The following is a 13,309-nucleotide window of genomic DNA, read 5'->3' as shown; positions in this document are numbered from 1 at the left end:
TGGAACAGGGCCTGTTTCAGGATACTGATTGCTTGTGTTGTTCCATCCACTTGAGAAAACAACTTTCTGGGTCCCGTTTCCGAGTTCCTAGAAGAAAAAATGTTATAGTTTTAGTTTGTATTGATAATAGTGGATACAGTTGCATCCAGGAGGACAGGGTCATTAGTTACAAATGTGGCAATTACGGCTCATCCACAAGGAAACCTGTTATGCAAATGAATACTAAAATGAGTAGTACTTTTTAAAGATTAGGAATTATTTTCCCTGATCCATCGTAAAAGAGCTATTAATAGTTATGGTCTAAGTTTGATTTTTAGTTTGCTCTTTTTCTGAGTTATTAGGTTCTAATATTCCTGGTATCTCCTTGTTTACTTTTTTTTCAGCACTGGTGGTCAGACACCCAGAAGAGACCTGGAAAAGGTGCTGACAGGAGAGGAGAAGTAAGGTTTTAATGTTAATTTTTCTTCCTAGACTATATAGAGAATTTCCGTTTGCTGCTTTAAGAAAAGTAGTAAATGAAATGATGTTATGCTCTCATTTGTGGGAGGTGACTTTCATTTTAACGTTTAGTATCTACAAAGCATTGTATTGGGTACTCTGGGGATGTAAGGAAAATTGAGAAAATAATTCATTCAATAAAGATTTTATTGCTGTTTGCTAAGTGCTAGACTCCTTGTTGTGCTCTGAGAATATAAAAACAAATTAAAAATAGTCTATGCTCTCAAAAGTGTAAGTCTTTACAAGGATGATAGGCAAAGGGAGGTCTTTGGTAAAGCCATGGGCTAAGTGTGCCAGGTCTGTGTTTGGAATGGCAAGTAGACTGAAGGGGTTGGACAGTAGTATGGGGCCTGAGGTGGTAGAAGATAAGGTTGGAAATAATAGACCGGTGAAGGGCTTTGAATCAAGATGAGGAATTTTCACGTCTTGTGATTCCACAGGAAGTTTTTGAGGCTGGATGTGAAGCCATCTGGTTTGATTTGATTTAGGGTGCTGATGCCAATGGCATCATGTAGGATGGATTGGAGGGCAGTGGGACTGAGGCAGTGATACAGCTAAACAGAGGTGGTAGTTGGGAAACAGAGGGGTGAGAAGACATTGCAGAGGCAAAGCTGTCATATGTTGGTGACTTAGTGGGAGAGAAGATGGCTAGAGTTGAAGACCTCAGCCAAAATTTTAACCTGAGTGCTGAGACAGTGTTTATTACCTTTCACCAAAATGGAGGGAGAAGTAGATTTGAGGGACCAGGCAAGTTCTCTTTTGAGCATATTAAATGTGACATGCCTAATGAGATAGCCCTATAAATATTATGGGTCTAGAACTTGTAAAGAGATGTTTGGGCTAGAGACCTAGATTTGATGGTTCTCTCCATAGAAAAGATTGTTCAATCAAGAGAGTATAGAGTAAGAAACGAACTAAACAATTTTGAAAGGGGGCATAGCCAGGCAGAGCAGCCAGCGAAGGGGAATGAGCACCTGTGGTCCTGTGCGTTGGAGCAGAGCCTGGAGGGGAATGAGGCTGAGCTGGAGGTGGCAATGACAAAAGCATGGGCCAGTGGCAGGTGCTGCAGAGGGCTTTGTGCAGGTGTGTTGGTAGTCAGGCAGCATCCCGATTGCAAGAAGAGAATAGGGGATGAGCTAGAGGAAAAGTTTGTTTAGGAAGGAAGTTGATGAGACCGTGGCTTCAGAAGGAAAGTAAGAGTTACAGGGAATTTTCTTGGCAAGCCAATTAGTCTGTTCATATATATATGAAGGTTATAAAAGTTTAAGGTTGGCCGGGCGCGGTGGCTCACGCCTGTAATCCCAGCACTTTGGGAGGCTGAGGTGGGCAGATCACGAGGTCAGGAGGTTGAGACCATCCTGGCTAACATGGAGAAACCCCATCTCTACTAAAAATACAAAAAATTAGCTGGACGTGGTGGCGGGCGCCTGTAGTCCCAGCTACTTTGTAGGCTGGGGCAGGAGAATGGCACAAACCCAGGAGGTGGAGCTCGCGGTGAGCTGAGATTGTGCCACTGCACTCTAGCCCGGGCAACAGAGCGAGATTCAAGTTTAGGGTTAAAAATGGGGTAAACTGTACAAGAGAATAGAAACAATTGAGAATTTTTTACCCTTCTCTCCCCATCCCCAGCAGACACACATAGATCCACTCTTTACTAGTTACCTAAATGCTGAATGGTTTGAATGCCCAGGCATCCATAGATAGGCTTTACTTTGGAAGGTTAGTAATCTTATTTTAGTCTAGCATGGTTACCCACGGATTTGCATAGAACTAAATACATACACATAAATGAGTGCAAGTAAAACTGGGGAAGTGTAAATAAGATTAGTGTACTGTATCAACATCAGTATCCTGGTTGTGATACTATACTGTAGATTCGCAAGTTGTTGCTATTGGGAGAGACATTGGATCTCTCTCTCTATCATTTTTTACAACTTCATTTGAATCTGTAATTATCTTCAAAAGATTTTTACAAAAATAAACATTAAAAATTGATGTATGAGTTGTATATTGAAAAACTACTTTATAGGCATACTGGGAGTTTTGGGGGTCATTTGACGACTCAATTCTTCACAATTCCTCATCTCACAAGTGAACTCATGAGTGACTCCACTATACAAGAGAAAAGGGGATTCCAAGTCATGCGGGCGGGACTAGCCTTGGAAGGCAGAGGGGCATGAGTATATCTGAAGCTGAGGAGAGGAGAAAAGGATTCATGCAAATGCAGAGCAAGTTGGCTTTGGAAGAGAAGTGAGGAATGCATACTGTAGTGTGTGTGATGACAGGCTAGCTGGGAGGCGGCAGGAGGGTGGATTGGGTGACCTTTGGTGGGGAGTAGAGGAGTTTCGAACATTGCAGCTTAATGGGTGGATGTAGGAACAGGAGTGTGAAATGGCCTATGTGCCCCACTGTGGCTGGCCACATAAGAAGCATGCTCTTCCTCTTCCCTTTTTCAGGGCTCTTAGACCTGGAGATCCTGGATTCTGTGCCCGTGCAAGGGTCCCAATGCCTTCAAACAAGGACTATGTTGTCAGGCCCAAATGGAATGTGGAAATGGAGTCATCCAGGGTAAGCAAGCGGAGGATCGGCAAGGTGGATCTCACCTGCAGATTACTGTTTGACTCTTTACTTCATGTGTTAATAACCCTTGTAGCTCTTGAAGTTTGTCTGATTCAGAGAGGACTGTTTTCTGGTCGCTTATCTAGCCAAACCACAAATTGAGCAATAGAGAAAGGAAAAGTATTACCCAGGATTAAAGTTTATTGCTGATGAATTTTTCTTCAGTCTTAATTCAACATTATCAGGTAGGGAAGTTTCTTCTTATTAATCCCTTTACTTCAAGCAAGGCTTGAAATTGAAACCTGGAGTATTCTGATACAGTGAATTTTTTTTTTTAATAACCATGAGAAACAGAGCTTACGTGCTTCAGCAGACCTACCTCTCCCTTTCTCTTCAACGGTTTAAGCAATTCCATTGCAAATGATTAGGGTAGACACTTATTCTGTTATCATTGTAAATACTGCTCAGTGGATCTTCAGTGTTTCTCAGTAATCTCTTTTTATTCTCCAATCAAACTACTACTTCTAGCCTGGTATTCTTAAAAAGGGCCTAAGCCGATTGGAAAAGCATAAGAGGCGATTTGCAGAACAGAAACGACTCAGCAAAGTGCATCGTGCTGTCAAGTTCAGCATTGAAGGCAACAGGATGCCCCTATAGGCCTGGCCCTACCAGAGTATATACACGAGAGGTATTCCCAAGGAAGCATGTACTGTGCATGGGCTTGAATTGTCAACAGTCAGAGTGAAAAGTGTGTGTGTGTGTGCTTTCTTAATCAGAAGAGGCCAGGTCTGCTTTTAGTTTCAAAATAATGACCCTAACAGGCACCTTGGGATATTCAAGGCCTCTTGAATATTTAGAAATTGACATGGAAGTCCCTTCCTTTATCAGTATCCTAGAGAGTAATAGATAATTACTTCCCTAATATGCATTTGGGTCTTCCTGACTGGTACCCGTTTTTATGAAAAAGGTTTTTGTTAGGACCCAGAATTACAGTGATATGTGTTACAGGCATATAAACTAGTTAGTGGTTTCCTGGTGGGAGGTAGCTTGTTTCCTGCTGTCAGTGGCTCAGCAACATGCATTTGAGAACTCATTACATAAAGCCTTATACTAAATATTTAGGAGATGAATTTGATTAACACATACTCAAAATGTGGTCAGAAGTGGAAAAGACTTGGGAACATTCATAAGCCCAACTCACTGATCCACTATGCTTTGAGACTAATGGCACCTTTGTTGCGGAGCACACACAGTGTGTGTGTGTTGCCTGCCTATGGTTCTTCTCCATGACCCCTGCTTTGGCAGCTGTTTCCACTGACTCCACTCTCCTACCTGCCAGTTCATGTTGCTATTAAGTGACTATCAAAACAAAACGTACTTTCTTATTTCTTGAGAATAAATCGAGGGTAGAGAAGGACTAGTTCTGTGCCAAGAACTTCCTCCTCTCTCTCTCCCTCCTCTTTCTTGTGCCCATATCCGTGTCCCTGACCACCTCTCCATGTCCCCTGTACCTGTTTCTTTTTTGCCCTTCTGTCCTTTTTCTTTTTCTTTTTCTTTTTCTTTTTGAGACGGAGTCTTGCTCTGTCGCCCAGGTTGGAGTGCAGTGGTGCGATCTCCACTCACTGCAAGTTCCGCCTCCTGGGTTCACACCATTCTCCTGCCTCAGCCTCCCAGTTAGCTGGGACTACAGGCTCCTGCCACCATGCTCGGCTAATTTTTTGTATTTTTAGTAGAGACGGGGTTTCATCCTGTTAGCCATGATGGTCTTGATCTCCTGACCTCGTGATCCACCCGCCTCGGCCTCCCAAAGGGATTACAGGCATGAGCCATCTCCTTTTTCATTGTTTCTTCTCTCTTTTTAGCCGTCTTTCATATTTCTCTTAACATTTTTATTTTTGAGAATTGGGAACTACAATATGGCAAAGAAAATAGGTAATAAAAACTCTTAGTGGCCAATCTGCTTTGAAAGCAGAGGTTGTGTTTCCAGGGCTGTGTCCCTGTGTGCTGATGTTTCTGGTTCTGGTCCCACTTCCCCATAGGTGGAGCAGGGTTGCATATTCACTCAGGACTTGCTTCCACATTGTAGACGCTAATGAGCAGTATTAGAAAAGACATGTCCAGGAAAAGAAATGGAAATGGGTTTCCAATGAAACACTTTTTGTCTTAAGTATCATTTTTGTTTTCAAAGTTATGTAAATAAATATAAAAAATAAATAGGGTTTTTTGTTTTTTGTTTTTGTTTTTGTTTTTGAGACGGTGTCTCACTCTGTCGCCCAGGCTGGAGCATAGTGGTGCAATCTCTGCTCACTGCAAGCTCTGCCTCCCGGGTTCACACCATTCTCCCGCCTCAGCCTCCTGAGTAGCTGGGACTAGGGCAGGCGCCCACCACCACACCTGGCTAACTTTGTTTTTGTATTTTTAGTAGAGATGGGGTTTCACTGTGTTAGCCAGGATGGTCTTGATCTCCTGACCTCTAGTGATCTGCCCGCCTCGGCCTCCCAAAGTGCTGGGATTACAGGTGTGAGCCACCATGCCCGGCTAACAATTTGAGGTTTTAAATGTATTTCCAGATATGCCTTGAACTTAGTTTTTATAATTATAGAAAATGTTTAAGTACAAAGAGAAACATTATTCATGGTCCTAGCATTCAAAAGCAGTTTGATGTATTTGTTGTCTTTTTTCTACTGATAACGTTAATTAAAATTATACTAAATATCAGCCTGGACAACATAGCAAGACTCCATCTCTACCAAAAAATTAAAAAATTAGCCGGGCATGGTGGCATACATCTGTAGTCCTAGCTACTTGGGAGGGTGAGGTAGGAGAATCACTCGAGCCCAGGAGTTTGAGGCTGCAGTGAGCTAGAATCATGCCATTGCACTCCAGCCTAGGTGAGACCCTATCTCTAGAAAACACACACACACACACACGCACACGCACACACACACACACACACAGCCCAACCCCCCCACCCCACCACCCCCCGCCCCGACCAAATTATAATTTTGGTTATTTTCCTTCATTAAACCACCTAGTCGATTTATCATTTTTAATGGCTGCATAATGGTCTATCCTGAATATAATTTGCTTTTTTTTTTATTATGTATTTTCTTTCTTTGTAGAGATGGTTTCACCATCTTGCTCAGGCTGGTCTCAAGCGATCCTCTGGCCTTGACCTCCCAGCGTGCTGGGATTACGGGCGGGAGCCACCACACCCGGCCATGAATATAATGTGTTTATTCGTTCGTTTATGATTTCTGATTTTTTACTCCTAAATAATGTAGTAACCTGTGCTACATTGTATTTTTTATATGTTCATTTACTCCGTGGAATACTTCTAAAATAACAGTAAAATGACAAAGGAATGCCTATTTTTTCATGAACTTTTAAAAATACAGAAAGCATAAATAAAATTAATGCCATCTGTAATCCCACCACAACTTAATGTTAACATTTTAAATTATTTCTTTTTTTTTCATACATATGCATAGACAATTACTGGGTTTTTGTTTTGTTTTTTGTTTTTTTTTCAAGCGACATTGTGATTGTATTCTTTTATACCTTATTGGGTTTGTTTTTTACTTACCATGGTAAAAATCCATTTGAGTGAGCATTCTTGAGTGGTTTTGCATTGTGTCTTCACACAGTTGTACCATAATTGAAGCTGCTTTTGGCCTTGCTCTGGTAAAGCAGTGTAGCACACACTCTTAATTTCTAAGGAAGTGTAGCGTTCCCTTGATGAATCAGGAGAGAGATCATTGAACTTGGTGTATGAGGTACTCTGGTCTGTCTTTTCAAGCTTGGGGTAAGTAGGCATCTGCAACTACCAGTCATATATTTTGTAACCCACTGGCCCGTGTGTGCCCTGATTGCTGAGGCTAGACAGATCCATCAGGGCTTAGACAGTTAGTGAGGGTCCTGGGAGTAGGCGAAGGGAAGTCCAGTTAATGTGTGAAGCTGCTGGGAATTGTGTAGTTGGCAGAGATTTGAGCAGGTAAAGCTTCCGATGTGGACCAAGTACAAGTACTAAGATCACGGCACATCCTCTAAAAGGAAGTCAGATATTTGGGACTGTCCAGGAAATCTGGGAGATAGTGTGATGGTGGCATAGCTCTTTCTCATCTGACACTTTTTATGCTTACTCAGAGTACGAATGCCAAGTATTGAGACGATACAGAATAATATTTGAATTGAGATATTCCTAGAAAGACAGGTCAACATGGCTCTTGGTCAAGAATGACTTAGAGTTCCTTGCCTAGTGCTCAGCTGGCTTCATGTCATAGTTGAGGCTGGGTCCACAGGTGGGATAAGATTCCACCAAAGCTCACCAGGCTGGTACTGACCCCAGAGTGTCTCCCAGGCCCTACCTTATTTTAGCATTCTTTTGAATTGAGTTTCAGAGGTGATTCAGTAGTAAATGTATGGGGAGAAGAATTAGAAAAACCCATCTCTTTTTAAGCAGTCATCATTCTTAAACATCTGAATTGTTTTACAACAGAGTCAGCAAACCTTTCTAGCATTTCTAAAAGATGGCAGTTTCTTGGAGACCACATCTTTGCAAGGCAGTATTTTCAAAATATAAAATAGCCCCCAAACCAAACCTTTAAACATGAAGGGCAAATGGGTAAAGACTTAATATTCTTTTTGTGTCAAGTATACTTAATGTAAATCTAGTTGCTTGTGAAGTAGTAAAATAGTAATAGCTCCTATTATTTTGAGCACTGACTATATGTGCTCAGCCTCTGTGCTTGGATCTGACATCACTATCTCATTTCCTTCTCTCAGCAGTTCTGGAAGGAGTACCTACCCTGGGTATGCTTTGCCCAGGGTCACAGAAGTTACTGAATTAGAGCAGGGATTCACCCCAAGTGTAAAAACTCAAGAGCTCCTGCACTTAGGGGTTTACTTCACTAATCATCTAACCTCATTTATTATGCTTAAGGCTTTTTCTCAGCTGACCTGACTTTGCTTTAGGTCATTCTTTTTTATGCCAGCACTGTTTGAAAGTGCATGTCAAGCGGCTAGCTCCACATTTGGTCTTCGAAAGGGAAACGCATGCAGTTAAAACGTAATGTACATGATGGAATTGGGAGGATCATAGTCTCAGTTTCCCCCCCCCTTTCTCCCATCTAGGAGACCTCCATGGACTGCAGCAAAATTAAAAATAAAGCACAGACAACAGAATTATTCTTCACTGAGAGAGTTTAATATGCGTTTCTAACACCATCTATACTTGCTTTGTTGTTCTTGAGGTCATCAACACACATTCTGGTTATTCCAGAGCTAGAAGCTCTTCTGGTTGCTAACTCAGTTATAAGAAGATGAAAGACATAACTAGACTTACGTATTTCAGTAGTTTGCTCTTTAATTTTTCCCTTACTCTTAGTTTCAGGCGACCTCCAAGAAGGGTATCAGTCGACTGGATAAACAGATGAGAAAGTTCACAGATATAAGGAAAAAAAGCAGATCTGCACACGCAGTGAAAATCAGCATTGAGGGCAACAAAATGCCATTGTGACCTTGCCTGGAATGTGTCCCCATCTCTACTCTAAGAAATGCGCAATGGACTCTTTGGAGAAAGAAGATATTTTAAAACATTTTTAGTGTGTCTGTAAATGGTTCAGCGTGTATCAGATGTTGTCATAGGACTCACATTTCTCTCAGTTATATTTAAAACCGTTGTGTACTTTGTACAAAGGAATACTAGTCATACTTCTATAAACTTTACACAATAAAATTTCATTCTGGTTTTTGGGGGGCTGTCTCTTCATTTCTTAGAGGATACATTCTTAATAGGGGCAAAGATTGTTTCTTGTTGTGTGGGAAAAAATCTTATGATATTATAGGGGTTTGTGACCCTTAGAGGTTCAATCCTCCCTCATTGTGGTATAATGAGGAATTTGTGTGGCCTTTGCCCCTGGTTGCTGACAAGGAATGTCTAAAACACTTGTGGTTTCCTGAGTGATAGAGCGTCTCTTGTTATGCTAACGAGGTGACTGTATGGTGGGCTTTAGGGTGGAGGCTGGTAACCAGAAACAGCTACTACAGAGGGTTGGGCCAGCAGGACCCGGGAGATTGAGACGCAGTCAGTGACCTGTTTGATTTAATCAACCATGCCTGCCAAATGGGACCTGATGAAGAGCTCTGGACCCCACAGCTCAATGACGCTTCTTGGTTGGTGAAAGCATTGGTGTGCTGGGAGGGAGAGGATTCCCCTCCATGAGGACAGGGGCACAGAAGCTCTGCCTTCCCTCCCAGACCTTCCCTTATGTATCCCTTCATTTGACTGGCCCTCCTAATTCATATCTTCTGTAGTAAAACTAATCATAGTGTTTTCTAGGGAAGGATAGTGCTTTCCTGAGTTCTGTGAGTCATTTCAGCAAGTTCTTAAACCTGAGAGGTTTATGAGAACCCCAAATTTGTAGCTGGTCAGAAGCGACAGTAGCCTGGATGCCTCACTTGTGGCTTGCATCTGAAGTGGGGGCAGTATTGTGGAGGACTGACCTCTTAAACCCGTGGAGTCTGATGCCAGCTCTGGGTGTGTCGTATCAGAATTGAATTGCAGTACCTCAGTTGGGGTGGAAATGGAATACCAACAAAATCTTATTAATGTGTTTCTCTTATTTGGGATAATTATTTTGATTTTCATTTTTCTCTGGGATGGGGGCTTATAACAGAGAAAAGATCAAGAAATACTACTGTCTTCAAGGAAATATGGATATAACTGAAAATCACTATGCCGAAAGCTTAGAGCAGTTGAGCAGTTAGAGGAGAGAGAAAAATTATAGCTTGTAGCTATGTTTCTTGTTGCTCTATTTTTGTGATAATAGTCTCTATAGACTTAATTATGAGAGGTCTCTTAAGGTCAAGATGACGAGGCCCAAGAACGTTTTATCAACTAGATTATTTTAATTTCAGAAATCCTATTCTGATACGGATTGGCACCTTGATCTTCAGAAACACATAAAACTACTTTTGGCCAAAAAAGCCTTTGAACAGCTAAAATAATGAAGTTTAGATACTAAAACACTGCTCACAAGAAACTCTCAAACTATTTACTTCCAGCAAACGCAGAAGCACAGTGGGATATAGTGCTTTGTAAAAAGCAGGTGCATAAAGGCATTAGAAGGTAATAGCTAGCCACTAGATGGAGACAAAAACCTAAGCTTTTCTGCAATGTTTCATACAAATACCCTCAAAAACACTTGAGAAGGAAAAAGCAGAGGCATCTAGTGAAGCCTTACACTGATCATTAAAAAATAAATTTGAAACAAAGACAACAAAGGTTGTATTTAAGAAAGATTTTTAAGTTACACAATTTTGTCATTTAATGGGGTAAGCTCCAATTACCTGAAAATTTCACTATTACAGGGTAAAACTTTAACGATGTTGGCAAGTAAAAAGTTTTAAACCATACCCGGGGAATTCAAAATGGTAAGAGATTCTCCTGTACTGTGTTTGAAGGAAAAAATTAGTTTCTATATAAATGATCCTTGGTGTTGGTTTTATGGCAGCTCAAACCTAGCTGGCCAGAAAAACCTTTAATTTTGAAGATATTTCCAATTTATAGTAGTTGCAAAAATAGTAAATAAACTCCGGTATACTCACTGATATTTACCAAGTGTTAACGTTTTGCCACGTCATTGACTCTGTCATCTTGTATATGCATAGAGCTATTTTTGCAGACTCAGAGTAACTTGCCGACAACTTGCCCCTTGAGCCCCAAATACTTCAGCATATTTCTTCCAAGAACATAGACTTTAGTTTTGTCCCAGAATTGATGATACTAACTTTGACAACTTGGCTATGATGATACAGAGTTGTGGGGGATTTTGTTTGTTTTTTAAGAGATGGGTTCTTACTGTGTCGCCCAGGCTGAAGTGCAGTGGTGTGATCCTAGCTCCCTGCAGCCTTGAACTCCCAGGCTCAAGCAATCTTCCTGCCTCAGTCTCCTCCCAAGTGGCTGGGACTATAGGCATGCACTCTCATGCTTGGCTTTTTTTCTTCCCCTTCCGGTTTTAAGATTTACTATCTTAAACAGTTTTACCGCTCAGTGGCATTGAGTATGTTCACAATGTATCGCCATCACCACCATTCATCTTCAGAAATCTTCTCATCTTGCAAAATTTTAACTCTACCTATCAAAGAACTCTCCTTCCTCCCCCAAGCTCTTGGCAACCACCATTCTACTTTCTGTCTCTTACGAGTTGTCTGTTCTAGGTACCTCATATAAGTGGAATCATACATTTGTCTTTTTGCGACTGTCTTATTTCACTTGGTATAATGTCCTCAAGGTTTGTCCATGTGTCCAAATTTCCTTGCATTTTAAGGTTGCATAATATTCCAGTGTGTGTATATACCACATTTTGTTTGTCCATTCATCTGTCAATGGACACTTGGGTTGCCTCCACCTTTGGCTATTGTGAATAACGCTGCTGTGATCATGGGTGTACAAGTATTTGTTCAAGACCTTTTTTTCTTCACTTTTAGAGATATTAAAAAACAACCATTTTTTTTTCCAATTCTTTTGGTTATATACCTAGAAGTAGAATTGCTAGATCATATGGTAATTCCATTTTAAATTTGTTTAGAAAGTGCCATACATACACTTTCCATAAGGGGCTACACAATTTTATATTCCCACCAATAGTACACAAGAGTTCCAATTTCTCCATATGCTTGCTAACACTTGTTATTTTTATTTTTTGATGGTAGCCATCCTAAGTGATGTGAGGTGGTATCTTGTGATTTTAGTTTGCATTTCCCTAATGATAGTGATGTAGAGCATCTTTTAATGTACTTTTTGACCATTTATATATCTTCCTTGGAGAAATGTCTATTCAAGTCATTTGCCCAGTTTTATATTGGGTTGTTTGGTGTGAGTTGTAGGAGTGCTTTGTGTACTCATGTTAATGCTTTATCAGCTATATGATTTGCAAATACTCTCTTTCATTCTTTAGATTGCCTTTTCACTCTTGATTGTGTTCTTCGTTGCACACATTTAAATTTTGCTGTATCTCACTTTTTTCTTTTATTGCCTGTGCTTTTGGTGTCATATCAAAAAAATTATTGCCAAATTCAATATTATGAAGCTTTTACCCTATAATTTTGTAAGTTTAGTTCTTATGTTTAGGTCTTTGATCCATTTCTAGTTGATTTTTTGTATGTTGTGTAAAATAAGGTTCCAACTTTATCCATTTGCATATGGATATCAAGTTTCCCCAGCAACATTTACTGAAAAAAACTTATTTTCCCCATGGAATGGTCTTGCAAGTCTTTTCAAAAATCATTTGACCATATGTGTAAGAGTTGATTTCTGGACTTTCTTCTTTTCCATTGGTCTGCATGTTGCAATATAGAACTGTCTGTGTGTCTGTCCCCACTGAAGTCAGGACGTGTGAGTCTTCCAACTTTGTTGTTTTTCAAGATTGTTTTGGCTATTTGAGATTTCATGTGAATTTTAAAATGGATTTTTCTATATATGCAGTAAACATTATTGGTATTTTGTTAGGAATTGCATTGAATCTGTAGAGGTGCTCTGGGTAGTATTGACTTCTTAACAATATTAAGTCTTTGAATCATGACCATGGAATATCTTCATTTATTGGTGTCTTCTTTAATTTCCTTAATGTTTTGTAGTTTTCTTTTCCTTTTTTCCTTTTCTTTTTCTTTCTTTCTTTTCATTCTTCTTTTTGATTCAGATTCTCCCTTTGTTGTCCAGGCTTGTCTCAAACTCCTGGCTTCAAGCAGTCTTCCCACCTCAGCTTTCCAAATAGCTAGGACTACAGGTGTGTGCCACCATGCCCGGATAATTTTTTTTGTAGAGTTGAGGTCTTGCTATGTTGCCCAGGCTGCTCTTCAACTCCTGGCCTCAAGCGATCCCCCTGCCTTGGCCTCCAAAGTGCTAGGATTACAGATGTGAGCCACCATGATGGCCTGTAGTTTTCAATGTAGAAGTCTTTCGCCTCCTTGGTTAGGTATATTCCTAAGTATTTTATTGTATTTGATGCTATCATAATTTGTTTTCATAAGTTCCTTTTAGGATTGTTCATTGTTAACATGTAAAAATGCGACTGATTTGTATTGATTTTTGTATCCTGCAGCTTTTCTGAATTTGTTTATTCTAACAGTTTTGTTTGGCTTTGGGGGTGTTTTGTGGACTCTGGGCATTTCTACATGTAATATCATGTTGTCTGCAAACAGATAATTTAATTTCTTTCCAGCTTGGATGGCTTTTTAGTTTCCTTTTTAT

The 13,309-nt window shown here is 40.4% G+C and overlaps 1 protein-coding gene across 8 annotated transcripts in view, besides 1 other annotated feature; it reads left to right on the top strand.

Annotated features, from left to right (window-relative positions):
* The window catches only part of IWS1 (interacts with SUPT6H, CTD assembly factor 1), a 46,525-nt gene extending 37,718 nt beyond the window's left edge, over positions 1-8,807 (top strand). For 3 of the 8 annotated variants that reach the window (XM_005263707.4, XM_017004468.3, NM_017969.3), the window contains exons 12-14: positions 384-440; positions 2,955-3,066; positions 8,444-8,807. In XM_005263707.4, coding sequence (XP_005263764.1) covers positions 384-440; positions 2,955-3,066; positions 8,444-8,575 — 301 coding nt within the window. In that variant the 3' untranslated portion in view covers positions 8,576-8,807. Of the gene's footprint in view, positions 1-383; positions 662-2,954; positions 3,067-3,585; positions 3,746-8,443 lie in introns of those variants that run through there. The other 5 variants (XM_006712626.4, NM_001410923.1, XM_047444948.1 and 2 more) reach the window with 4 other exon arrangements.
* Positions 8,861-9,812: an enhancer, noted in NCBI's record as "NANOG-H3K27ac-H3K4me1 hESC enhancer chr2:128237383-128238334 (GRCh37/hg19 assembly coordinates)". NCBI's record gives its function as "activates a minimal SCP1, AML or CMV promoter by ChIP-STARR-seq in naive H9 embryonic stem cells {active_cell/tissue: H9 hESC(naive)}" and the evidence as "EXISTENCE:reporter gene assay evidence [ECO:0000049][PMID:30033119]".

Source organism: Homo sapiens, chromosome 2, assembly GCF_000001405.40.
Source record: "Homo sapiens chromosome 2, GRCh38.p14 Primary Assembly".
Classification (NCBI taxonomy): Eukaryota; Metazoa; Chordata; class Mammalia; order Primates; family Hominidae; genus Homo; species Homo sapiens.
This window is presented reverse-complemented; position numbering and strand designations above follow the sequence as displayed.